Consider the following 27,561-nt stretch of genomic DNA (forward strand, 5'->3'; position numbering starts at 1 on the left):
ACCACGCCCAGCTAATTTTTTGTGTATTTTTAGTAGAGATGGGGTTTTACCATGTTGGCCAGGCTGAACTCCTGGCCTCAAGCAATCCACCCAGCTTGGCCTCCCAAAGTGTTGGGGTTACAGGCATGAGCCACTGTGCCTGGCCTTGCTTTAAAAAAAAATTTTTTTTAATTCAAAAAAGAAATTCATATGCTTCTGGCAGAAATCTAACTTGGTATGTAACCTTTGTAGCAAACAATTTGGTATTATTTGAGAAGTTTACATTTTTAAGGTTTTAACCTATTAATTTAATTCCCAGGAATCTATCCAAAAGCTATTAATTAGAGAGGCAAATATTTGCATAATATTCATCATTTATCACAGTGTTTTTTATGATGGGGGAAAAACTTCAAATCACTTAAATGTTTTCTTTGAGGAAGTACTTCCTTAAGTGGAAAATTGTGTCACCATGAAGTTATAATCTTGAAGAATATTTTAAAGAAGAAAATACTCATGAAATTTTAGAAAAACTATGTTAGAAATGTTAGAAAAAATTACTTAAAAAACTATAATGTCATGGGATCCTTAGGGTGTTGCTTTTCCACCTGGACACTTCTGTGGCCAGTGGCGATTTTGCCTGAGTTTTCCTCGGGTCCACTGGGCTTTTTCCACTGTCTTGGCTCGGCAAGCTGTGCTGGGCTTGCACTACCAGCCCGGATCCCATGCCTGCCAATGGCAAGCCAGGTGCGGAGTGGCGAGTGGTGTATGAGCGAGCGTGCACGGTCCAGACACTATGCACAGCCAGGTGTGCCAGCCGTGGCAGGGCAGGCAGCTCCAGGCACCGGTACAGGCACTGGCTTTGTGCAAGGCTGTGGCTGGACCAGGTGTACCACAAGCAGTTTCTGCTGCAGGTACTGGGGAATGCAGTGATGCCCGGAAGCTTGGAGATGCCAGGAACTGCAGAGCCCCACTGTCACAGCCCTGGCTCGGAGAGCCCCTAGGTCTGGTGTTCCCGAAGGGCCGCAGCCCTTTCCTCCTTGTTGCCCACAACCTGGTGAGCAGGGGGCGTGTTTTGGTCCTGTTTGTGTTACAGCTTTTTCAGTCCCACCATTCAGGGGTCCCGTGTCCAGGAAGAATGAGGTATGCAAGGTATGTGGACAACTGGAGGGGGAGCAAGGCAGAGAGCAGCTTCATTGAGCCCCAGAAGAGCTCTCAGGAGACCTGAAGTGGGTAGCTCCTTTTTGCAGGCAGGTCATCCAATGAGGAGACCCGAAGGGGGCAGCTCCCTCCCGCAGCTGGTGGTCTGGACATCTGTGAGTCTGGCTGAGTCCGGGATTTTTAATGGGCTCAGAATGGAGGAAGTGTGTGCTGATTGGTCCATGGGAGGCCACGGACGGCCTGGAGAAAGCACCCTGAGTTCTTACTCCAGCTCACGGACTCCACCCGGAACCTGCAGCTCAGACCCCAGGCTTCAGGTTGTCCCTGGCTTGAAGGTGGGGTTTTACCTGTGATCTGCCCCTTTCTGGACAGGAACCTGTGTCTGTCTCCCTCCACTGCCCAGGCTGTTTGGGCTGAGGGGTGCCTGCAGGCCCACTTGGAGCTGCCCTCACCCCTGCTGGCCTCTCTCCCACGCTTATCGGCACCCGAAGTCCAGAGGGGGCTGAGGCGGCAGGGAGCTGGTGTGACAGCAGTGTCCAAGCCTGTGCACACCCGACTCGGTCGTGACGGTCCCCAGGCTCGGCCACAACTTGCTCTGCACCAGAGCAGGTGCTGGGAGCAGGGAGAGAGGCCAGGGAGTGGGAGCAGGCACTTCCGAGCCTGTGGGGAAAGAGGGTCTTCCCGGGTAGCTGAGAGTACAGGAATGCCCAGGTCTGGAGCCTCTGCTGGCTGCAGCTGTGCCAGGAGCCCCGCCAACTTGGTAGGGGGCAGCGCTCCCGCTTGTTTTCTGCCCTGCTGGCTCCATGGAGGGCGCAGCCCTGGCCGCGCCTCCCCGGATGCATCCAGACAGGCTGCGGCTGCCATCAATAATGCTTATTTATTAGCGCTGCAGTTTGGTATGTATACAAACAAATGCCCTGAAATGTAGCTGAAGAAGTTGTCTCTGGGTGGTGGGATAGGTGATGATTTTTTTTCTTTGATTTTATAGTACATGTTATTTAAAAATCACTGCCTTACTGATTAGTTCCACGTATAATTTCTGAAGGGGACACTGTAACAGAAAGGTTTAGAGCAGGGGCTAAGCGTCAGGCTGACCTGGTTTTTGGTAGCAGCCTTGATCCGATCCATTGTATGACCTGACCATGTTTTACTTTTCTCAGCATTTGTTTCCTCATCTGTAAAGTGAGACTCCTTAAACTTAACTCAGAGTTGTCAAGATTAGAAATGATAATGTATTATAATAGCCTTTAAAAAATAAATTTCTTATTTTGCTTTAATTCTTGCAATAAAAACAGTATCGCACTGTTGCCTGGGCTGGAGTGCCGTGGTGCGATCTTGGCTCGCTGCAACCTTCACCTCCTAGGTTCAAGTGATTCTCCTGCCTCAGCCTCCTGAGTAGCTGGGACTACAGGCGCGTGCCACCATGCCTGGCTAATTTTTGTAGAGATGAGGTTTCACCATGTGGGCCAGCTGGTCTCGAACTCCTGACCTCAGGCGATCTACCCTCCCCAGCCTCCCAAAGTGCTGGGATTACAGGCATGAGCCACCACGTCCAGCCAAAAACAAGTCAACTTTTTTTGCCTTCCATTGAATGTATCATAACAAAGACATTCAAGATGCAATAGTCAAAACTCAAATGAATTTGGAGGCTAAACTATTAAGTGTATAATTACTCTGTGAGTTACAGATTGAGTGTAAGTTTCACTAAAATAAATTGTAAATGATAATAATGAAAATGTAATTTTAATTTTCTGCCAAGACAAATATTGTTTTCATTCTTGATAATCTTCACCTGTCGAACTACCACAAATGTTACGTTTATTACCACGTATATAACCTTTTGCAATCTGGGCCACACAAGAGAATAAACCCTGTCCTTAGGCATCCGTTGCATGTAATGAATTTGCTTCTCTCTTGTGTGTCTAGAATGGAACCAGCTTGTGTCATCTAATTTCTCATATGGAAGAAGTGAGAAAACTGTCACCCAAAACAAATCACTGTTCTGTGGTTTAGATGAGGAACCCTGATTGAGATGCCTGGCACGTAGAAGGCACTCAAACGGAAACAGTTCCTATTGTATTTGTCCTGGAAGTCAGATAAAAGAGCAGTTGCTTTCCGGATTTCTTTGTTTGGTATAAGCATCTTCGGGAAAATGTATTTTCCAGAGTGTGATCCAGTAAGTGGACAGCTCTGTGGCAATTTCTTAGGCCCTGTCTTTGGATCCTGTGCTGTAGGACCACACGCAGCTCCTCCGTTTGTCCTCTTGTAGTGTAATGGCCCTGTTCCTCCACTGTAGGGCGCCAAGGTACTGCTTCCTATCTGGGAAGAGTTTTCTGAATGTTACTGCTTTCCCCTTAACTGTCCGAAGCCTTATTGTATCCCAAGCCTTATTCAGGCCTCACATTTAATACTTTGTCACAAATTGCTTTATGGTAATGTATTCCATTTGGATATTCATACTGCTTTTTTGGGACATTGATTTTTTTTCAATACACTGCTAAAGATACTGTTTTAATATATTTTCTGGTGAATGTTTTCTCATCACTGCTTCCTATTTTATTTTAGCTACTGATCTACTTCTTGCCTGGAATCCCATTTGTTTGGGGTTGGTAGAAGGTGTTATTGGGAAAATTCAACTTCATTCAGGTATGTTTCTATAAACTCCTTAAACTTGTCAAATTTATTGTAGCATTTTTTGGTGTTTTCCTCTTTGAGGATACATGAGATTCTCTTATAGCTTTGATTCCTTTGTTTTAATTTTGGGTCTGCTCAAAGTGGGTGTATAATGAGCGAAGACCTGTTTCTACTCTTATGGAGCTTACAGTTTAGGAGGAAAGACAGGTATCAAAGAGTAATCATGGAAATAAACGTATGATTATTTGGAATTGTGGAAGGTGCCATGAGGGAAAGATATAGCAAATGCATTGATCTCAAAGGAGAGTAGTAGGAATAAAGCTGGAGAGGCAGGCAGGTGGCAGACCATGACTGGTTGGCTTTATGTCAGCTGACTGTTCCTGATGCAGTCAGCTCTGCCAGAGACGAGTATGGGTCTCTTAGCACACAGTGTGGTCCTGTCAGGGATCCCTATCCAGGACAGGCAGATTGATGGGAAGTCCAGGTCACTCACCAGGCCCTCACTTGGAATGACAGGCACCTGTGTCCTCAGTTTAAAGGGAATTTTGTTGGTGGGAAAGTATAACAGGTATTATACAGGTGGGTCCCAAAAGGCTAACTGAAAGGGGCCAAATGAAATTTTATTTTTTCTTTTTTGGTGCCTTACCCTTCAGGGAGCTTTTTAAAATTAGAGATGGGTTCTTGCTACGTTGCCCAGACTGGTCTCAAACTCCTGGCCTCCAGCAGTTCCCCTGCCCTGGGCTCCCAAAGTCCTGGGATTACAGGCATGAGCCACCATGCCTGGCCTAAATGAAATATTTTAAGCACTACATTTAAATAAATATTTTTCCTTTGGTATCAATTTTGATGAGTTATGAATTATAGGAGGCTTTGCCATTATTTCTGTATAATTGTGAGTATATATCTTTATAGTGTGTCCTTTTTATTTAAAAATAATATTAAGCATTTGGGAGCTAGATTGATTTTTGTGTATTAGAAATAAGCACGTATATCTGGAAAATCTAATTTTCCTTTGCTAGATTCTTTGGTTGTTTTTAGAAGTGTGTTTTTATCATGAAATATTTTACAAATTCAAAAAGCTGTTTATCGCAGATGTGCGGTAAGGTTGTTTTAAAATACACGCATGTATCTACCACCTAGGTTAAGAAATGAAATATGGGCCAGGCGCAGTGACTCATGCCTGTAATTCCAGAACTTTGGGAGGCCGAGGCAGGTGGATCATCTGAGGTCGGGAGTTTGAGACTGGCCTGACCAACATGGAGAAACCCTGTCTCTACTAAAAATACCAAAATTATCTGGGCATGGTGGCGCATGCCTGTAATCCCAGCTATTCGGGAGGCTGAGGCAGGAGAATCGCTTGAACCTGGGAGATGGTGGTTGCAGTGAGCCGAGATTGCGCCATTGCACTCCAGCCTGGGCAACAGGAGTAAAACTCCATCTCAAAAAAAAAAAAAAAAAAGAAATGAAATATGACCAATGTGTTTGGAGCCATCTCTGTGCCTTTTCCCAAATGTTTCCAATTTCCTTCCCCTTAAAGGAACCTGCTATTTTGAATTTTGTATTCCCTTGGTTTTCGTTTTTGCTTTTATTATATAGGTATTCCTAAAGATGTTGCTAAGGGTTGTATTTTGGGGATTTTATATAAATGATATTAAGTTGTTTTTGTTCTTTCACTTATTTTTATTTATATTTTTGAGATTTATCCATGCATGAAACTGTAGTTCCTTATTTTCACTGTTTATGAATATATTGTGATTTGTCCTTTTTCCTCTCACTGGGTAATTGAGTTGTTTCTTTTTTTTTCTTTCTTTTTTTTTTGCTATTAGAACTAATACTGCTATGAGCATTGTTGTATATTCTGTATTTGGTAGGTTTTTAAAAAAATTCTTTCAACACAGAGGAGAAAAGCACTTAGTCGTTGAGTAACCATGTAACCAAGTATTTTAATAACAGTCTCCTACCTGTCCACATTTACCTACATATATTTTTAATTCATTTACATGCTGACAGGATAATTTCACAGCTGGGTGTTCTGAGCTAAAATTCGTTTTCTATTATTTAAATGACACGTATGAAACTTTTGAGTTATTTTTCTCATTTTCAGTCACATCTTAGCACAGTGAATAAATCACTGCAATCAGTTAGGAGACCTGAAGACAAGCTGTATTTATTTAGCTTTGAGATATAGGAGAAGCTGCCTAACATCTGTTTCATGTATCTCTTGTTATGTAACAAGCCAGTCCCAAAAGTTAATGGCTTAAAACAACAACAGTGTATACTTTCTCATGATTCTATGGGTTGACAGAGCAGCTCTGCTCTTGTCTGTTGTGTTGGCTGGGGTCATTCACGTAGCAACATTCACCAGGAGTTTGCCTGGGTGGTCTTAGTTCTCCTTCACCTGGCCCCTCTCTCCATGTCTCTCATCTCACAATGCCTGTCTTGAGTCCTCCTCTCTCTCCTGGATAACCTGGACGTCCTTTCAGGGTAGTGGCTGGGTGCTGAGAAGGCAGCTACCAGTGTTCAAGGGCCTGTATGTCTTAAGTTGTTACACAAGGTAAAAGAAACTGGTCTCTTCATTTCCATAGGGTACTGTGAGTCCCGAATGAGATTATTGTACCTGCAAGTGCTTAGTAAATTGTAAATCACTATTTTATCAAGGCTCTTTGGTTGCAAATACAAACCTATCAGCTTAGGCAAAAAAACACACTTTTTAATGAAGAACCCAAGGGACCAAAAACAAGAAAGAAATGGATGTTGTACAGGACCCAGGATTACTTTATTGGGGCAGCTGGTCTCTGACAAACTGCCTCTCCCTCTATGTCTCTTTTATTCTTCTCTCTTTTTGGCTTTCTCTGTTTGTGTGTATGTAGGTTAAAATTTCTGCCTTTAAAATGACACCCTTAGCCTCAAGCCAGCTGACATCTGATATTCCCTGTAATAACTGGAAACTGACAAGCAGTTAAAAAAGATTGAGTAGTGAGTCCACGTTAGACTTCTAGGTAAGAGACTTATTTGCCCATCTTGGGCCAGGGGACTCCTGGCCAGGGTCACGTAGATCAGACCGTGCTCCAGAGTCCCAGTCCCCTAGGTGGGAGGCAGAGCAGGAGGGTTTGGACTTGGCAGACAGCCCAGAAGCTGTCTCCTACAAATAATGTACAAATGTAAGTTTGTTAATGGTTGATGAGTTTACGATACAGTCAAAGTATGGTCATTTAGGAGGCGGTGAAGGTATGGTCATCTGTGGTCAGCCCCCTTTATATGTACTTCTCCTCCTTGCCATTCTTTGGTCCCAAAATAGGTGATTGATAGGCAGTGAGAATACCTGTGATGTAGGATATTTTGAAAGAAGGGAGAGGTGGAGGGTAGAGTGAACTGGAGAAAGAAAGTATAAAAAAGGAAAAAAGGGCAGGGAAATTCTCTTAATTTTTCATTCTCCTAATCCTTGGACATTTTTTTTCCTTCTTCTTGTCACGTCACTTGAACGGTTTGGCTCTTAAGAAAAAGAGTCGGGAGGAAGCAAAGGGAAACACTTTTCTGGGCCCCTGCTGCTTTTCCCTCCCTCCCAACCCTCTCCATGTCACTCTGCCCCCAGCCCCTTGCCTGTGAGCACCCACCTTACTTACTCTCCTCATCTGTCCTCAGGGATGCCTCCTCCTCTCCTCTCCCTGCCCCCGATTAAAGCTCTTGCCCTGGGTCAGATTGGCTAGAAGGGAGGTATGTGCCTGCTGTGTGTGAGAAAGAATTGAGAAAATTACTTCAGGGGCATTTTCCCCAGGAACATCTTATCTTTGGAGGATAGGGGATGAGGGGAATAAAATGTCTATACTGAAACTCTCTCCTGTTTCCCTCCTACTTATTCTCCACATATTAATGCACAAATTTTTCTTCTCACCTAGGGAGATGGGAACATAAATTTATTTGAACAGATGTCATTGACAGTCTTAAAGTGGCGTGGGTGAGCAATGCCGCTGTTCCTGACTGTCACTGAACTCTGAGCTCTGTGGAATGAGCAAGTGCTCGTGACTTAGGAACTGTATTAGTTTGCTGTCATAGCAAAGTGCCACCAGCTGGGTGGCTTAAACAACAGAATCATATTTTCTCACAATTCTGGAACACAGAAGTCTGAAATCAAGGTGTTGGCTGGGTTGGTTCCTCCCGAAGCCTCTGTCCTAGGCTTGTACATGGCCACCATCCCCTTGTGTCTTCACGTGGTCTTCCCTCTGTAACTGTGTGTGTCTGTCTAAATTTCCTCATCTTGTAATGACATCAGTCATTTTGGATTAAGGCCCACTCAAATAAACTCACTTTAACCTAATTACCCCCTTCGAAGACCCTGTCTCTAAATATAATCATATTCTGAGGTCCTGGGAGTTAGGACTTCAGCATATGAATTTTAAGGGGAAACAGTTTAGCCCATAACGGAACATAATGTCCACCAAAATGCTTCATTACAAAAGCATGTCAAAAAGAATTCCTTCTAGTCTGGTGTTTCTGTTTCCTGCTGCTTGTGCTCATTTCAGTGTGATAGGCCAGTCCTCAAGTATCGTTGGCTAGGAACCCACTCCAGATGTGGACTAATTCTGAAAGATCACACAATTGCCTCGAATCAGGTGACCTCATTTAAGCCTCAGTTGCCATCTATAAGACAAAGCTCATGGTTCCTTGACACAGTTATTGCGAAGATTTAATAAAACTCACATAAAGTGAGTTCTTGGTAATAATAAGCATTTCAGCCAGGCGTGGTGGCTCACGCCTGTAATCCTAGCACTTTGGGAGGCTGAGGTGGGCAGATCATGAGGTCAGGAGTTCGAGGCCAGCCTGACCAACATGGTGAAACCCCATATCTACTAGAAATACAAAAATTAGCCAGGTGTGGTGGCACACACCTGTAATCCCAGCTACTCGGGAGGCTGAGGCAGGAGAATTGCTTGAGCCCAGGAGGCAGAGGTTGCAGTAAGCCAGGATCGCACCACTGCACTCCAGCCTGGGTGACAGAGCAAGACTCTGTCTCAAGAAAACAAACAAAACAAAACAAAAATTCAATATATGCTGATTACTATTTTTTTTCCCTCTTAAAGATCCTCATAGATATCAGATATTCTACTCAAGAACCACTTAGATTGTGGCTACACAATTTTGAACAAATTTTAAACATGGACTATTTTTCTAATGTTAGTTTTTGCTGAAACTGTAATAAGAACAAGTCACAGGCCCGACATGGTGACTCACGCCTGTAATCCCAGCACTTTGGGAGGTCGAGGCGGGTGGATTGCTTGAGGTCAGGAGTTCGAGACAAGCCTGGCTAACATGGTGAAACCCCCTCTCAACTAAAAATACAAAAATTAGCTGGGTGTGGTGGCGGGCACCTGTAATCCCACCTACCCGGGAGGTTGAGGCAGGATAATCGCTTGAACCCAGGAGGTAGATGTTGCAGTGAGCCAAGATCGCACCACTGCACTCCAGCCTGGGCTACAGAGCAAGACTCTGTCAAAAAAACAAAACAAAACAAAACAAAAAAATAGAACAAGTCACTAAAAGACTACATTGTGAAAATGTATAAAAAGTAATGTTTTTGGTAACAACACATTAGTAGCGTTAGTGAAAGTTATTTTGTAATCCACACATTTCTTTTAAAAAATATATGATAGAAGAATTTCAAACTATTTCTGTGCGTGTTATCCTTTGTTGATGATTGCCTGCCCTTTTAGCAAGCTCTGCCACAAAAAAAAAAAAAAAAAAAAAGGTTCTATTTGCCCTAATGCCTAGAAAATATCTATTTAGAACCATTAGCCTATTTTTGGGTTGCAAGACCTCTTCCTCAGACATTTGCAGGCAGGTGGATTTCAGCCAGGGTGTAATGTAGTCTGTCTTCCGACAACTCAAACGTGTCTGACTTTGGTTTGACCAGTTGAGATTTCTTTACTTTATTTATTTATTTATTTATTTTTGAGACAGAGTTTTGTTCTGTCGCCCAGGCTGGAGTGCAGTGGCACAATCTTGGCTTACTGCAACCTCAGCCTCCTGGGTTCAAGCGATTCTCCTGCCTCAGCCTCCTGAGTAGCTGGGATTACAGGCATGCGTCACCATGCCTGGCTTATTTTTGTAATTTTAGTGGATTTCCCCATGTTGGCCAGACTGGTCTCGAACTCCTGACCTCAGGTGATCGGCCTGCCTCAGCCTCCCAAAGTGCTGGGATTACAGGCATGAGCCACCATGCCCGACCGAGATTTATTAATATGAGGAACAGAAAGTAGGAGGGATGTGTAATGCATCAAATAGGTGAAAGAAAAGTATAGATCTGTGAAAAATCAACATTAAAAAAATTCATTGTAGTATCCAGGAGGAAATAAAAATGGTAGTCAAGGCCGGGCATGTGGTGGCTCACACCTGTAATCCTAGCACTTTGGGAGGCTGAGGCAGGTAGGTCACTTGAGGTCAGGAATTTGAGACCAGCCTGACCACATGGTGAAACCCCATCTCTACTAAAAATACAAAAATTAGCTGGACACTGTGGCATGCGCCTGTAATCCCAGCCACTCGGGAGGCTGAGGCATGAGAATTGCTTGAACCCGGGAGGTGGATGCTGCAGTGAGCTGAGATCTTGCCACTGCACTCCAGCCTGGGTGACAGAGTGAGACTCCATCTCAAAAAAAAAGAATGGTAGTCAATTTCATATCACAATTGTAATTACATATTAATTTTTTCTTTTTCTTTTTTGTCTGTCTTCTCATGGAAATAACCTCCAAGAAGACAGCAACTGGGGCCATGTCTATTCTGCTTACCTGCTGTGTCTCTGTGTGCTGGCCCACTGCAGGGCAATTCAGAAATATTCAGTGAGTACTTATGGATTTAACAAGTATCTATGGAGTACCTACTGTGTCCCATGGCCTGTACTCAGTGCTGGGGCTGTAGGTTGAACAAGCTGGGGCTGCAGGTCGAAGCTTGTAGAAACCTAGACTCAGAATCTGAGTGATAGATGTTAATTACTAGTCACACAGTTTTACCATTAAAAATGTAATCATCTGAAGACAAGTGTGGGGTGCTGTGGTGTGTATGACAGAAGAGCCTAACTGGGTGGAGCTGGTGCTCCTGGATGGAAAGCATCTCATATGGGTGGAGCTGGTGCTCCTGGATGGAAAGCATCTCACACGGACAGGGCCAGGGGTGGGAGCGGGGAGGCCTTGAGAGGAGAGGTAGTTCTTGGCGGAGTATGCAGCTGTGCAAAAGGCCCGGTTCTTGGCAGAGTACGCAGCTGTGCAAAAGGCCCACATGATTGATGTGTTTCTTCTCTTCATTTTCTGTGTAATGTCTGGGTATAGTCATATCTTCACACAGACATCCAGGAAAAGACTGCTTTAGGCTGGAGATTTAAAATAGATCACAAAAGCTCTTCAAGTTAAAATGTATTTTCAAGATTGAGAAGAGGATAAGCTCAATTAGGGTAAGAAGTATCTGAAGATAAGCAAAAAGATTCATTAGTAAAGGAATATATCCCACGATATATTCAGGACTAGTTTGAAGAGAAAATTGTCAGGAGCCTTGATTAATGTGGCAATAGAGGCTCTTTGTTTAGTAATTAACTGAATTACTACTGATAGTACTGAACAATCCTAGACAAAAATTCACTCAAGTAAATCTCATTCATTAAAATAATACTCGCCATCTGCTGTTCCTCCACTTTTGTAGTGGTGACGATGTCTCAGTCATTAAGATGGTAAAGTGTGTTATGCATATGATTTTAATACTGATTTTAGTCTTCTGTCTATGGAGACTTTGCTATGGCACTAGTGACATGAAATATTTTACATATTTTAGTGGTAAATGGAGTGTCACTAGCATTGTTTTAGTGCATGCCTTAAAAGCCACTGGAAACCCCACTCCTTAAGTACATTGGAGAGAAACAAGAGGGTCTGACAGGGTCCCTGTGGAGCTCTCATCCTCTGCTGGAGGCTGGGTCATGGGACAAGCCTTTTAGTTATTGCTTCTGCTTAGATATGAGTTTGCCTGTGTATATACAGGCACGTACCACCGTGCCCAGCTAATTTTTGTATTTTTTAATAGAGACAGGGTTTTGCCGTGTTGCTCAGGCTGGTCTTGAACTCCTGGGCTCAAGCAGTCTACCTGCCTTGGCCTTTCAAAGTGCTGGGATTACACAGGCATGAGCACTGTGCCCAGCCTCAGATACAGTCATTTTTATGTTCATTTTCTCATGAGGATCTCAGAGTTACTGACTTTTAGAGGTAAGATTTACTTTTTTTTTTTGAGACAGAGTCTTGCTCTTGTAGCCCAGGCTGGAGTGCAGTGGCACAATCTTGGCTCACTGCAACCTCTGCCTCCTTGGTTTAAGCGATTCTTGTGCCTCACCCTAAGGTGGCTAATTTTTTTATTTTTAGTAGAGACAGGGTTTCATCATGTTGGCCAGGCTGGTCTCGAACTTCTGGCCTCAAGTGATCTACCTGCCTCGGCCTCCCAAAGTCCTGGGATTACAGGCATGAGTCACCACGCCTGGCCTAGAAGTAAGATTTTCATTGGTGACCAGATTCCTGGTTAACCCTTAGAAGATTCTTTAACTATAATTTAGCTGACCCATTCTCTTAACAGACTTGAGTCTTGGAAGCAGGCAGCTAAGTGGTGTGAGAGGATTACATTCTCCGGTATCTTCTCATTGGTTTTGTTTTTGCTTCTCTCCTGTTCCTTTTCTTCTCTCCTCAGGTACCTAGATGCTGAGTGCTTCGTCCTTCTCTCTTTGCTCCCCTCAGCTTGTTGCTACATTTTGTGCTTCAGAATTTCCCACCTCCCTTGTTCCTAGTCTTGAGCCCGTCTCCTTGGTGCAGATGGTTCCACCTCCCGGGTAGAAGTGATGCTTGAAGAAGTCACATGAATGCGACCCACAGTTCTGAGCTCCCCAGAGTGTGGTTACACAAGTATGCTTCTTATTCCTGAGCATATCTCTAAGTGGCATGGCAGATATTTATGTTTTCAGGCAGAGAGATACTTGAGAGGCAGGCTAGCGTGCCTCATGCTATTCCACTCTCATTCCTTTTTCTAGTCATAAACCCATTTGTTCTTAAACTCCAGTTTTCTTCAGTGATTTCAGTAGCAGCCATATTAAAGGTTTGTTTTCTAGCCTCAGAAAGAGGGGAGGAAAGCTGGGTGCAGTGGCGCGTGCCTGTAGTCCCAGCTACTTGGGAGGCTGAAGGAAGAAGGACTGCTTGAGGCCAGGAGCTCGAGGCTACAGTGTGCTATGATCATGCCTGTGAATAGACACTGCACTCCAGCCTGGGCAACCTAGTGAGACCCTGTCTCTTAAAGAATAAAAATAAGAAAAGGAGGATTATTAAGGTAAAAATGACTGTGTGGGCCACCTATACAGGTGCTTTCTGTATTTATTTCCTCCTTTGTATTACCTTTTGGACTTTTTATCTTACTGAACATTTAAAAGTAATTCCAGTCAAATTATTGTCAAAGCTAATTGTGTTTAAGAAAGGAGATTCTCGATAAATTTGTTAAGTTCTCACTTAGGCTTGGCCAGTAACAACCATTGACAGCAAAAAATGAAGGTTATTTAATTGACTTGGATAGCAGGTCTGTTACAGCCCGTGGGCTTGATTCCCTTTGTGTACGGACCAATAACCTCCAGCCTTGAAGCATTTTTATGTCACTTTTCAAAGCATTAATTTATCTTTATGATGATTAACTTGTATTGTGAGTAAAAATCCTGATTGTCTTTAGTATGCTGGAGTTTAGTGGCTAGGAAAGTATTGAAGCTTTCAATAAACATATAGGAAAACATTTTAGTACTTTAGGGGGATAAGCTGTAGTTGTCTGAAAAATACATTTTTATATAGAAAATCATTTTGCCCAACAGTACTTAATAATTTAGACTTTTCTAGTTTTCTAAGTCTTTTCTATTTCTTATAGTTACAAGAGTTTATATTTTTTTAGAGTATAATAGATTATTTCAAGGTTATTTCATTTTATGGCAGATTTATTTAGGGATTTAACTACAGTCTTAAGCTTTACAGGCTAAGCAGAATATACTTCTAATTGCACCATTTGGTACTTTTGAAATAGAGCCTATTAAAAATGTCTCTTGCTCTAGATGCTCTCCCTATGAGTCATTGTCAGTTTTCTATAAACCGAGACTTAGGAAACTTTAGTAAGGAACAGAGCAACCAGTCAGGAAACATGGAATAGCTGCTATGTTTGGAAGATGAACAAATTAATAGTTGGCTCTTTAGTCACTGAGAGCATTAGAAGCCTAATGTGATGTACTTTTAGCTATTAGGTACCTGACGTTGAACAAACCAGCACTGGCGTGGTGGTAGCATTACTTGTTTTTCCATTTACTTGATGTGTGTTGTTCCCTGAAATATAATCAGGGATATATGGTGCTCTACTTCCATTAGGGGGGACAAAACATTTCTCTTAATGTAGTTTTTTTTTTTTTTTAAGACATGGCTTTAAATGTAAAACAGAAAAATTCACTAAACATACTGTGAATTCATATTTTTAGTTGAAATTTAAATTCATGCATAAATGTGCATAAAACCTACTTTATAGACTCACGTTCTGTTCACTTAAAAGTGCTAAATAGCCAATTAATAGCTTCTGCAGCAGATACCAATGAAGTAGGTTTTATGCACACTTAGGACTCAATTTACATTCATACCAAAGATTTGTAAATAAAATTGGAGCATAATTGGAGCATAATATGCCTTGGAATAAACTATTAAGATATTTTCCTAATTATTTGTTTCTCTTAGCATGTTAATATCATAGTTCAGTTGTCCCTTGGTATGAAGAGGAGGGATTGGTTCCAGGACCACCCACGTATACCAAAATCCATGCATGCTCAAGTCTCGAAGTTGGCCCCGTAGAACCTCCGTATATGAAAAGTTGGCTCTCTGTTTATGTGGGTTTCTCGTTCCACGAATACTGTATTTTTCAATCTGCATTTGATTGGAAAAAATCTCCATGTAAGTGGACCCTTGCAGTTCAAACTTGTGTTGTTCAAGGGTCAACTGTGTATAATAGTTCTTTGTCTGTTTGGGCTGCTGTAACAGAATGTCATGGACTGGGTGGCTTGTAAACAACAGAAATGTATTTCTGATGGCTCTGGAGGCTGGACAGCCTAAGATCAAAGCCCCAGAAGATTTGATGTCTGGTGAGGGGCTGCCTTTTATTCATGGATGGCCTCTTCTCACTGAGTCCTCACATGGCAGGAGGCGTGAGGGAGCTCTCCTGGGTCTCTTTTATAAGGGCACTAATCCCATTTGTGATGATGTAGCCCTAATAACCTCATCATCTACCAAAGGCCCCACCTCCCAATACCATAATATGGGGGATTAGGATTTCAACATACAGTCACGGTCCTCCCTATCTGTAGGTTCCACATCTGCAGATGGACAATATTCAGGAGAAAAACCCAATAAAAATAATATTAACAACTATAAACAGCATTTATATTGCATTAGGTATTATAAGTAATCTAGAGATGATTTAAAGTATACAGGAGGATGTGTATAGGTATATGGAAATATTAATACTATGCCATTTTACATAAGGGACTTGAACATTTGAGGATTTTGGTATCTATAGGGGGTTCTAGAATCAATCCCCTGCAGTTACTGAGGGGTGACTGTATGAATTTGTGGGCACATAAACATTTAGCTTATAATATTTTGCCCTGTCCCCCTAAATGTATGCTCTTCTCATATGCAAAATACATTCATTATAATCCCAACATTCTTAAACTCTTAACTCATTCCACCATCAACTCTTAAAGTAAAAAATCCGAAGTCTCGTTTAAATATCATCTAACTCAGATGTGGGTGAGACTCAAGATATGATTCATCCTGAGGCAAATTGCTCTTCAGCTGCAAACCTGTGAAACCATACAAGTTATGTACTTAGAAAATACAATGGTGGGACAGACTTGGGCTAGACATTTCCATTTTCAAAAGAGAAATAGGAAAGAAGAAAGAGGCAGTGGAGCCCTAGTAAGTCCAAACTATAAGACAAACTCCTTGAGATCTTAAGGCTCGAGAATAATCTTCACTGAGTCCATGTTCTGCACTTCAGGCCCACTGCGGTAGAGGTTCTACCTTCCAGACCTGCTGAGGTGGGGGCCCTGCCTCCACGGCTCTACCCAGGAAGGGTTGTGCCCCTAGGGCCCTGCTGGTTGTTCCTATCCTCACGGCATCTGGCAGAGACCATCTTGCCTGTTGAATAATGCAGTCCCTGCCTACCCCTTTTGAAACCAAGGAAGCAGCCCTGATGATCTCTTAATCACCTTTGGGCTTGTTCTGCCTTTGTCTTGAAGAATAGTGCACATTCTCTGCCAAAAAGCTCTATGGTCCTGGCCTGTAAAACCCAGGAAGACTGATAGCCATCCTTCATTCCTTCCCAGTTCATTCCCTTTCATCTCACACTGGCTGTTCTCCTGCTGAAGTGGCTTAAGTCCATGGTTCACACCCATATTACTCTCCTTATCAGAGGGACTTGGGCACACCTGTAGTGTTTTCCCCTGAACGGGCCTTTTTAAAAATTTCCATAGTCTGGCTAGAACTTTTCAAATCTTTAAGTTCTACTTCATTTTTGCTTAACAACTCTGTCTTTAAGTCATAGCTCTCTTCTCGCATTTTACTATAATCAGGCAGGAGGAGGCAAACTTCATCTTTGACATTTTGCTTAGAAATTGCCTCAGGTAAATATCCAATTTCACTCTTAAGTCCTCCCTTCCACAAAATACTAGAACATGCACAAATTTCAACCAAGTTCTTTGCCACTTTATAACCAGGATCATCTCCATATTGTCCAATAACACGTTCCTTATTTTCATCTGAGACTTCATCAGAATGCTCTTCACGGTTCATGTTTTCTACTGACATTCTGCTCAGGATTACTTAGGAATTCTCTGAGAAGATTGAGGCTTTTTCTACAGCTCATCTCTCTTCTTTCTGAGTCCTCACCAGAATCACCTTTAAAGGTTCACACAGGGCAGTGTAGGCTTTTTCTAATAGTATGCACCTCCAAACTCTTTCAGCCTCTACCCATTACCTGGTTCCAAAGCTGCTTCCACATCTTTAGATGTTTGTTATAGCAGCACCCCTGCTGCTTGGTACCAAAATCTCGATTAGGGCTTTCCAGAACCAATAGTGTATACGCGCGCATGTGCTTGCATACACAGGCGTGTGCACACACACACACACACAAACACACACAGTTGACCCTTGGACAACACAAGTTTAAACTGTGTGGGTTCATGTATAGTGTATTTTCTTTTGCCTCTGCCACCCCTGAGACCTCAAGACCAACCCGTTCTCATCCTTCCTCTTCCTCAGCTTACTTAACATGAAGATAAGGATGAAGACCTTTATAATGACCCACTTCCACTTAATGAGTAGTAAATACATTTTCTCTTCCTTATGGTTTTCTTTTTTTTTTTTTTTGAGATGGAGTTCCGCTGTTGTTGCCTAGGCCGGAGTGCAGTGGTGCGACCTCGGCTCACTGCAACCTCCGCCTCCCGGGTTCAAGCGATTCTCCTACCTCAGCCTCCCAAGTAGCTGGGATTTCAGGCATGCGCCACCATGCCTGGCTAATTTTTTGTATTTTTAGTAGATATGGAGTTTCACCATGTTGGCTGGTCTTGAACTCCTGACCTCAGCTGATCCGCCTGTCTTGGCCTCGCAAAGTGCTGTGATTACAGGTGTGAGCCACCACGCCTGGCCCCTTGTGGTTTTCTTAATAACATTTTCTTTTCTCTAGCTTACTTTATTTATTCATTTATTTATTTATTTTTTGAGACAGAGTTTCCCTCTTGTCGCCCAGACTGGAGTGCAGTGGCACGATCTCAGCTCACTGCAACCTCTGCCTCCTGGATTCAAGCGATTCTCCTGCCTCAACCTCCCGAGTAGGTGGGATTACAGGTGCCTACCACCACGCCCAGCTAATCTTTTGTGTTTTTCGTAGAGATGGGGTTTCACTATGTTGGTCAGGCTGGTCTCGAACCCCTGACCTCAGGTGATCCACTTGCCTTGGCCTCCCAAAGTGCTGGGATTACAGGTGTGAGCCACCGTGCCCAGCCTAGCTTACTTTATTGTAAGAATACAGTATATAATACAGCATACAAAATATGTGTTAATCAACTATTTATGTTATTAAGCTTCTAATCAGTAGTAGGCTTTTCATAGTTAAGTTTTGGGGGTGTTAAAAGTTGTATGTGGATATTGTTTTTGTTTTTGAGACAGGGTCTTGCTTTGTCACACAGGCTGGAGTGAAGTGGCGTGATCTCAGCTCACTACAGCCTCGACTGCCTAGGTTCAAGCGACTCTCATGCTTCAGCCTCTTGAGTAGCTGGGACTACAGGTGCACGCCATGATACCTGGCTAATTTTTGTATTTTTTTTTTTTTTTTGTAGAGATGGGGTTTTGCTATGTTGCCCAGTCTGGTTTCTAACTCCTGAGCTCGGGTCATCCAACTATCTCGGCCTCCCAAAGTGCTGGGATTACGGGTGTGAGCCACTGTGCCCAGCCAAAAGTTGCATGTGCATGGGGAGTCAGCACCCCTAACTCCTGCATTGTTCAAGGGTAAACTGTGTGTGTGTGTGTGTGTGTGTGTGTGTGTGTGTGTGTGTGTATAGTGTATATATATACTATATAGATATACACTATATACTATATATAAATACTAATTAATCTCTCTGTATACACTATATACTATATATATATATATAGAGAGAGAGAGAGAGAGACGGAGATTTAACATCTATACCGAAATTATTACTTACAGAGATCTGTTATTTAAAGATAATTATTATAAGGGATTGGCTCATGTGATTATGGAGGCTGCCATCTGCAATCTGGAGAACCAGGAAAGCTGGTGGTATAGTTCCAGTCCAAGCCCAAAAACTGAGAATCAGGGGAGTCAGTGATGTAAGTCTCAGTTGGAATCCAAGGGCCTGATAACCAGGAGCACTGATGTCTGCAGGCAGGAGAAGATGATGTCCCAGCTTAGAGAGCAAGGTAGCCCATCCTCTGCCTTTTTGTTCTATTCTGGCCCTCAGTGGATTGGATGATGCCCACCTGTATTGGTGAGGGCAGTCTTTATTCAGTTTACCAATTCAAATGCAAATCTCTTCTGGAAATACCCTCAGAAATAATGTTTTACTAGCAATCTGGGCATCCCTTCCCAGTCAAGTTGACCCACAAAATTAACCATCACAGGGTCATTTACGGATATTTCATACACTTTAAAAACGAGATCAAGAAAACTAGTCAGAGGTTCTGTTTCTGACAACAGCAGTATTTGATGAGATAATGGCCAAGAATTTTCTAAAACCAACTATAAATACAAGCCACAGATTCAAGAAGTACTTTGAATCCAAGGAAAAAACATAAAGAAAACCACACTCAGTTACCTCATAGTAAAACTGATGAAAAGTAAAGACAAAGAGGATATCCTAAAAGCAGCCAAAGAAAAAAATACACATTAAATTCAAAGGCATGTTAAGCATTGATAGAAACAATGGAAGCCAGAAGACAATGGAATGACATCGTCAAAGTGCCTGTCCAGAATTTTATACCTTCAGAAATTAAAAATAAAGACATTTTGAGACAAATAAAAACAGAGAATTTGTCACCAACAGTCTCTGCATTAAAAGAAATACTAGAGAGGGCTGGGCACAGTGGCTCATACCTGTAATCCCAGGATTTTGGGAGGCCAAGGCTGGCAGATCACCTGAGGTCAGGAGTTCAAGACTAGCCTGGTCCAACATGGTAAAACACTGTCTCTACTAAAAATATGAAAATTAGCCAGGCGTGGTGATGGGAGCCTGCAATCCCAGCTACTTGGGAGGCTGAGGCAGGAGAATTCCTTGGACCTGGGAGGCAGAGGTTGCAGTGAGCTGAGATCATGCCACTGCACTCCAGCCTGGGCAACAGAGTGAGACTCTGTCTCCAGAAAAAAAAAAAAAAAAAAAAAAAAAACCTAGAGAGATTTTCAGGCAAAAGGAAAATGATTCCAGATGGGAGCATGGAGGGGTAGGAAGAAATGAAGATCAATGGAAAGGGGAAATAGTAAATTTAAGTGAATTTGTCATCATACATGGGGCTTAACTTTAAATGTAGAATTAAAATACACAACAATAGTAGTAACAATGGGGAGTTAGAGGAGTTGGTATTCTAAGTCCTTTCACTGTCCAGCAGCTGGAAAAGTACAAATTTACATTAGGCTTTTGTAAATTAGGATTCATGTTATCCCCTACAGTGTAACCACTAACAGAATAATAAAATATTGTAAAAAGCTCATAAAGGAGAAAAGCAGAATAATAATGATTTAAAAACTTAATCCAAAAGAAGGCAAGAAAAGGTATGTATGGAACAAATGGGACAAATAGTAAGATGATAGTTTGATTCCTAAATATGTCAGACATTACATAACAAATGAGTAGACTTAATGCTTCAATTAAAAACCAAAGATGTTTATACTAGAAAAACAATAAAATCCATCTACATGCTTACTTTCAAGACAAATGCCTTAGAGATATGAATACAGAAAGTAAAAGCATAGAAACTGTGTGAATATTAGCCTAACGAAAACTGGTGTCACTGTGCTAATATCAAAGTAGACTTTAAGGCAGGAAGTAGAGAGAATCATTTCAAAAATAACAAAATGTTCAAGTCACCAGAAAGAATAGTTTGAAATTTGTATGCATCTAAGTATAACCTTAAAACCAACTATAAATATATATAAAAAGCAACGAGTCATTTGGTTTACATTTTTTAGTTTAGACTGTCAATTTGAAATGACAGAGGAACGTGAGTATTCCTGTTGGCAATGTTACAGAGAAGAAAGGAAAGGCGAGCAGACTTTTCCCCTTTTCAGATTATCTTTTTCCTTCTTTACCAACATGTCTCCATCCTCTGATGTATCCAGTGCAAATATAGACTCTTCTGTGGCGTTTTGAGCATAATCTGCAGAAGTCCTTCAAGAAATGTTTGTATTTAAATATTATGCTACAAAAGACTTTGGAGTATATAGTATGCACCTCTGTCTTTGGGTTAATATTTGTTGGTATGTCAGTATAATTATAAATTCTTGTCAAGTGTGGTGGCACATACCTGTAGTCCCAGCTAGTAGAGGTCTAAGGTGGATCACTTGGGCCCAGGAGTTCTGGGCTGGAGTGAGCTATGCTGATTGGGTGTCTGCACTAAGTTTGACATCAAATACGGCAGCCTCTTGGGAGGGGAGACGACCAGGTTGCCTGAGGAGGAGTGAACTGGCCCAGATCAGAAATGGAGCAGGTCAGAACTCCCACGCTGTGATCAGTAGTGGGGTCGTGCCTGTGAATAGCCACTGCACTCCAGCCTGGCCAATATAATGAGATCCTGTCTCTTAAAAGGGAGAGAAAGAAAAGGAAAAAAATTATGAATTCTCCTGTGCTAGCTCCTCAAGTCATAATTGCACAACCGTGTGAGTGTTCAGGCTGATGGGTGCTCTCTGTTTCACCATTTCCCAGCCTCTCTGTGACTGTTCCAGTGGACCTAGGAAAGGTAATCTTTGCCTCAGGAATGTAGTGTGCAGTATTAGAGCATACTAAAGGAAGTAAACACCTGAGACTCATTAGTAAATGCACCTTCTCTTCCTTTTTACCCTTGTTCCTCACATGAATGTTTATAGAGATAAACTGGAAAGTGTCCAAAAGAGCGGTGAAAATAGAACCTACAAAATAAATTATGGTTGTATGCTGTGAACATAAGTCATTTTAAGTTCTCAAGTAAAATTAAAAGGACTAGTGCCAAGAATGGTAACTGGTTACTTTCCATTTCTCCTGTTCTCCTTATGTGAGAGAACTAAGAAAGCAGGGTTTGGATTAGGTTTAAAGAATTTCCATGGAGTGGGGAATAGTGGTCAAAGAGAACTTCAGTTTTATCTGTAATGTTTAAACTTTCAAAAAATGGGATATATTAATATATTCCCTATATAATGTTAATAAAAATAAAAATGATTGCTGGACATGCATTGGTGGATTAAATGTATATCTTTTCTGTATGTCAATAGGATGGTGAGCCATGTCTAGAAATACGTAGTTGCAGTACCCCTTAGAGGCAAGGTCATGAGTAGGGAGTCGGTTAATTTTAAAAATTTTATTTATATTTATTTACTTTTTGAGACAGTGTCTCACTATGCTGCCCAGGCTGGTCTCAAACTCCTGAGCTCCAGTGATGCTCCTACCTCAGCCTCCTGAGTAGCTGGGACTGCAGGCACACACCACCGGATCTGGCAGTGATGTTTAATTTTTTGTGTTAACTTGACTGGGAAGGGATGCCCAGAAAGCTGGTACAAAATGATTTCTGGTCATGTGTGTGAGGGTGTTTCCAGAAGATACTTGGCGTTTTGAGTTGGTGGACCGAGTAAAGAAGACCCATTCTTATCAGTGTAGGTGAGCATCATCCCGTCTGTTGAGGGCCGGAACAGAAGCAAAAAGGAAGTATGAATTCACTGTGTTTGAGCCAGGGCATCCATCTTCTCCTGCTCTTGGACATCAGAGCTCCTGGTTCTCAAGCTTTCGGACTCAGATTGGGGCTTAAACCATCAGCCTCCCAGTTCTCAGGCCTTCGGACTTGGACTGGGACTTTTACCATTGACTCCCCTGGACTTGGACTGAATTACACCACAGGCTTTTCTGGTTCTCCAGCTTGCAGATGGCAGATTGTGGGACTTTTTGGCTTCTATAGTCACATGAGCAATTCCAATAATAAATCTCCTCTCATTTATATATCCTCTTAGTTCTGTTTCTCTAGAGAACCGTAATGCAGGAGAAAAATTTTTTTTTCTAAAGTGGTATGAAAATCTTTATCCTACAGTTGCTCATCTCCTTTTAAGTGAGTCACTTTCTAAGTCAAGCAATTGAATCTTTTCCAGGACTATTGTTTTAGCTTGCCCTACTGGTCATGCTTTTCAAGATAATCACTTCCTAATCAGTTTTTTTTATCTTGCTGGGGAAGTCAGGTTTCCTTGTCTCTCTTTTCCAGGAAGAGGCACGGTTACAAAATTGACTTTTTCCCCCATTGTAATATGTTTAAAAAGTTGGAAAGAAATCTTTATGCCATCAGACCTTGCTAGATTCTATTTTTTTTATTCCTTGTTATACTGTGTATATCCTGATCTCAAAATGGTAGCTTTAATTGAACCAAGTTTCTTTTCCTGGTGGGTAACAAATAAATACATAGCCTGCTTTGGTGCTTTTAAAAATTGTACTGTGAAATTAGGCCTGATGGATAATAGGATTGCCAAACAATAGTGACGCTGTACTTTTACATTTGTCTTGTTTTAATTCTAAGTATAAAATGTAGAAATCATTTAACCCTGTAGCTCAATATGCACATTCCTGCCGGACATCTCAGGCTTTTTATGTGGCAGTGGTGGTGTATTTTGTTTCACCTAAGGCAAAATAATTACAGGAGTAGAGATTGCTATTATTTTCTGTGAGGTCTTCTTTTGTTTGTTTTATTTTCTAGAGTGAGTGTTTTTGCTTGGAAATAGCTCAGTGTTCAGTTCATAATTTTTCTTTTCATTGTGATAATTTTGATTATTTCCTTGAACACTATTCCAGACACCTACATCTTTTCACTAGTGTTGATACATTTCAAGAATTATAGGCTGTCCTATCCTAACCTCCATTTTTGGCAGAAAGTATACTTTTAGTTTTTTATCCTCTTCTTAAGACTCCTAACAAGTTCTTTTGTTCTTCAGAAGGAGATTTTTTTGAAAATAAATAAATAAATAAAAAACTTGAGATTTAATTTACATACCATAAAATTAACCCTTTTAAAGTGTGCAGTTAAGTGGTTTTTAGTAGATTTGCAAGGTTACGCAACATTTACCACTCTCTAATTCCAGAACATTTTCGGCATCCAAGAATGAAACCTCTCAGATGGCCAGTTATTTCTCATTACCCCTACACCAGCTCCTGGCAACCACTAACCTCAGCTCCTAATCTACCTTCTGTCTCTAGGGATTTTCCTGTTCTCAATATTTCACATAAATGAAATCATACAATATGTGCACCTTTGTGATTGTTTTTTTTCACTTAGCACAATGTTTTTAAGGATTGTCCATGTTGAAACATGTATCAGCACTTCATTCCTTTATAGCTGAATAATATTCCCTTGTATAGATAGACTATGTTTTGTCTGTTCCTTCATCCCTTGATGGATGTTTGGGTTGTTTCCGCAGAAGGAGCTTTTTTTTTTAATTTAAATTTTTAGGTAGTACAAGTGCGTGGTTTAACAACAATGTAAATAGTAGTAAAAGGTATTCAGCGAAGCCTCCCTCACTCCTCTGTCCCTATCTGCCCTATTTCCACTGCTTCATCCAACCTAGCACCATCATTAGTTTATTGTGAATCCTCTGAGAGTTTCTTTATGCATTTACAAACAAATACAATTATTATGCTTATAGTCTTCATTTTCCCAGCCTTCCCAAGTGTATAGACTACATTTCTAGGAGAGGAACAGATTGGATAAAGCATGTACACAGTTTGAATTTTGATGCATCTCCAACACTAAGTATTACTTTTAACAAAGAGATTTCTTTTTGACAGTCTGATACAAAGTGATCTTCCTATTTTATTTCATTATTGCTGAGCTTAATTATATTTTTAATGTTTATCATCCATACTCCATAAAGTATGGAGATATATATATATATATATATATATATATATATATATATTTTTTTTTTTTTTTTTTTTTTTTTTTTTTTGAGATGGAGTCTCACTCTGTTGCTCAGGCTGGAGTGCAGTGGCGCGATCTCGGCTCACTGCAAGCTCCATCTCCCGGGTTCACACGCCATTCTCCTGCCTCAGCCTCCCGAGTAGCTGGGACTACGGGTGCCCGCCACCACGCCGGGCTAATTTTTTGTATTTTTTAGTAGAGACAGGGTTTCACCATGTTAGCCAGGATGGTCTGGATCTCCTGACCTCGTGATCTGCCTACCTCGGCCTCCCAAAGTGCTGGGATTACAGGTGTGAGCCACTGCACCTGACCTATCTTTTTTTACTTTGGGGACATTACCTTTTTCTTTTCTACAGATTTTATTGAGGAACTGTTGCACAAGGGGAAAAGAAACCTCAGTCCAGGATTGTGCTCAATTCCAGATATAGTAAGGACAAGTGGGGATTTACAGCAAAAGAGTGTGGTAGGAATCTGTGGATGGAAAATTACCGAGAGGAAAACCTATTACCTTTTTCTTGTTGATTGATACAGCTCTTTCTATTTCGTAAATACTAACCTTTAGCATGCCATGTGTTGCAAATAATTTCCTGTTTGTCATTTGCTTTTCATTTTGTTCATAGTGTGATTTACCACCCAGATATGTTTCATTTTTAATGGAATCAAGCCTGTTCATTTTATGACTTCTGGATTATGTATCATGCTTCCGAAGGTCCTTCTGCTCTGAGATGATAAAGAATCTGCTATATTTTGTTTTGCTTTTATTTTTAGCAATTAGCTCATCTACAATTAATTGGGGGGCATGGCTTGCAGTGGGAATTTAACTTTTTTTTCGTGTGGAGAACCAATTATTTCAACATTGTTTTAATTTTTTTTTTTGAGATGGAATCTCGCTCTGTAGCCCAGGCTGGAGTGCAGTGGCGCAATCTTGGCTCACCGCAACCTCCACCTCCCGGGTCCCGGTTCAAGCAATTCTCCTGCCTCAGCCTCCTGAGTAGCTGGGATTATAGGCACGCACCACCATGCCCAGCTAATTTTTGTATTTTTAATAGAGATGGGGTTTCACTGTGTTGGCCAGGATGGTCTTGAATTCATGACCTCGTGATCCGCTTGCCTTGGCCTCCCAAAGTGCTGAGATTACAGGTGTGAGCCACTGCGCCCAGCCTAATTTTTAAAAATTATTATCTTTTTTGAAATAGTGTCTTACTCTGTTGCCCAGGATGGAGTGCAGTGGCTTGAATTCAGCTTACTGCAACCTTCGCCTCCTGGGGTCATGCAATTCTCCCATGTCAGCCTCCTGAGTAGCTGGGACTACAGATGTGTGCCACCATGCCCTGCTAATTTTTGTATTTTTTGTAGAGACAGGGTCTTGCTGTGTTGCCCAGGCTAGGCTCAAACTCCTGGACTCAAGCAGTCCACCCACCCTGGCCTCCCAAAGTGCTGGGATTACAGACATAAGCCACCTCTCCCAGCCTGTTTTTCAAATTTTAGTTTCGGGGCGACATCTGCAGGTTTGTTACATGAGTATATTGCATGATGCTGAGGTTTGGTCTTCTGTTGATCCCGTCACTCAAATAGTGAACATACTACCCAATAGACGGTTTTCTAACCCTTGCTTCCTTCCCACTATCCCCCGTTTCGGAATCTCCAGTGTTTATTGTTTCCATTTATTGAGACACCATTCTTTTCCCTTCTTTATCATCATTTATGAGATGCTCATTTTTACATAGGTCGTGTCTGGCTTCTCTATTCTAGTGATTCATTTATCTTTTCCTTTACCTAGTATCAAGTTTTAATTACCATGCTTTTTTAAATCCCCCTCTTGCTCTGTCTCCAATGTTGGGTTTCACTCTGTCCCCCATGCTGGAGTACAGTGATGGAATCGTAGCTCACTGACAACTTCTTGAACTTCTGAGCTCAATCAGTCCTCTTGCCTCAGCCTCCAAAGTAGCTGGAATTACAGGTGCAGGCCACCACGCCTGGTGTTACCATAGTTCTGCCTAGGAAGACAAGTAGTCTCAATTTCTTTTCAAAATCTTTACTGGATATTTTTACGCATTTAGTCTTTCAAGTGAAATTTAAAATATATTTAAATTTCCTGGCCGGGCTCAGTGGCTCATGCCTATAATCCCAGCACTTTGGGAGGCCAAGGTGGGCAGATCACAAGGTCAAGAGATAGAGACCGTCCTGGCTACATGGTGAAACCCCGTCTCTACTAAAAATAAAAAAATTAGCTAGGCATGGTGGCGTGCGCCTGTAGTCTCAGCTACTCGGGAGGCTGAGGAGGGAGAATTGCTTGAACCCGGGAGGCAGAAGTTGCAGTGAGCTGAGATCACGCCACTGTACTCCAGCCTGGCGACAGAGGGAGACTCAGTCTCCAAAAAAAAAAAAAAAAAAAAAACTCCCTAGAAGTCCCATAAGAATTTTGATTGAAATTGCATTAAATTTCTATATTAATTTGAGAGATACCAACAAGTTTGAAATGTTGAACCTGTGCATCCAGGCTCATGGTGCTTTCATGTATTTATTTTCTGTATGCTCTAAATGAAAGTTCTGTGGTGCTTTTCATGTAGATATTAGACCTTTCTTTTATTCATTTGTTTGTTCGTTTTGTTTTTTTTTTTCTTTCTTTCTTGAGACTGGGCCTGGCTATTTTGCCCAGGCTGATCTTGAACCCCTGGGCTCAAGCAATCCCTCTGCCTTGGCCTCCCAAAGTGCTGGAAGTACCACTCCCGACCTAGACATTTCTTAATTGGAATTAGTCCCAGAAACTTTATTGCTCCTGTTGCTAATGTTATGATACCTTTTTTCTATTACATATGCAAGTGGCCTATATTAATGCTTTTTTGTATGTTTTTATTTATATGTGGCCACATCAGTGGACTCCCATCTATTAATATATTATTGGTTTCTCAAGGTCTGAAAAACTGCTAAATATATAATATTCCATTTCCTTACAATATGTATAGTTAGTTTTTAACCTTTTATATTACATCTAGAGTCCACGCTTTTTCCATGAGGCTGAGGTTTAGCAAATGAAAAATATACAGCA

At 41.6% G+C, this 27,561-nt stretch overlaps 1 protein-coding gene and 1 pseudogene across 27 annotated transcripts in view, besides 1 other annotated feature; both read left to right on the plus strand.

Annotated features, from left to right (window-relative positions):
* INPP5F (inositol polyphosphate-5-phosphatase F) overlaps positions 1-27,561 on the plus strand; it is a 103,098-nt gene that overhangs the window by 21,324 nt on the left and 54,213 nt on the right. For 21 of the 27 annotated variants that reach the window (NM_001441001.1, NM_001441013.1, NM_001441022.1 and 18 more), the window contains one exon: positions 3,703-3,783. The exons of 1 other annotated variant lie outside the window; for it this stretch is intronic. In NM_001441001.1, the coding sequence (NP_001427930.1) occupies positions 3,703-3,783 (81 nt within the window). Of the gene's footprint in view, positions 1-1,743; positions 3,570-3,702; positions 3,784-10,518; positions 10,605-18,193; positions 18,363-27,561 lie in introns of those variants that run through there. 5 more of the 27 variants (NM_001441009.1, NM_001441002.1, NM_001441011.1 and 2 more) reach the window with 4 other exon arrangements.
* Positions 684-978: a silencer, noted in NCBI's record as "tiled region #1472; HepG2 Repressive non-DNase unmatched - State 23:Low, and K562 Repressive non-DNase unmatched - State 23:Low". NCBI's record gives its function as "represses a minimal TATA promoter and a strong SV40 promoter by Sharpr-MPRA in HepG2 and K562 cells {active_cell/tissue: HepG2 | K562}" and the evidence as "EXISTENCE:reporter gene assay evidence [ECO:0000049][PMID:27701403]".
* Positions 20,883-21,169, plus strand: RN7SL846P (RNA, 7SL, cytoplasmic 846, pseudogene; annotated as a pseudogene).

The sequence above is a fragment of the Homo sapiens genome, chromosome 10, assembly GCF_000001405.40.
Source record: "Homo sapiens chromosome 10, GRCh38.p14 Primary Assembly".
Taxonomy (NCBI): domain Eukaryota; kingdom Metazoa; phylum Chordata; class Mammalia; order Primates; family Hominidae; genus Homo; species Homo sapiens.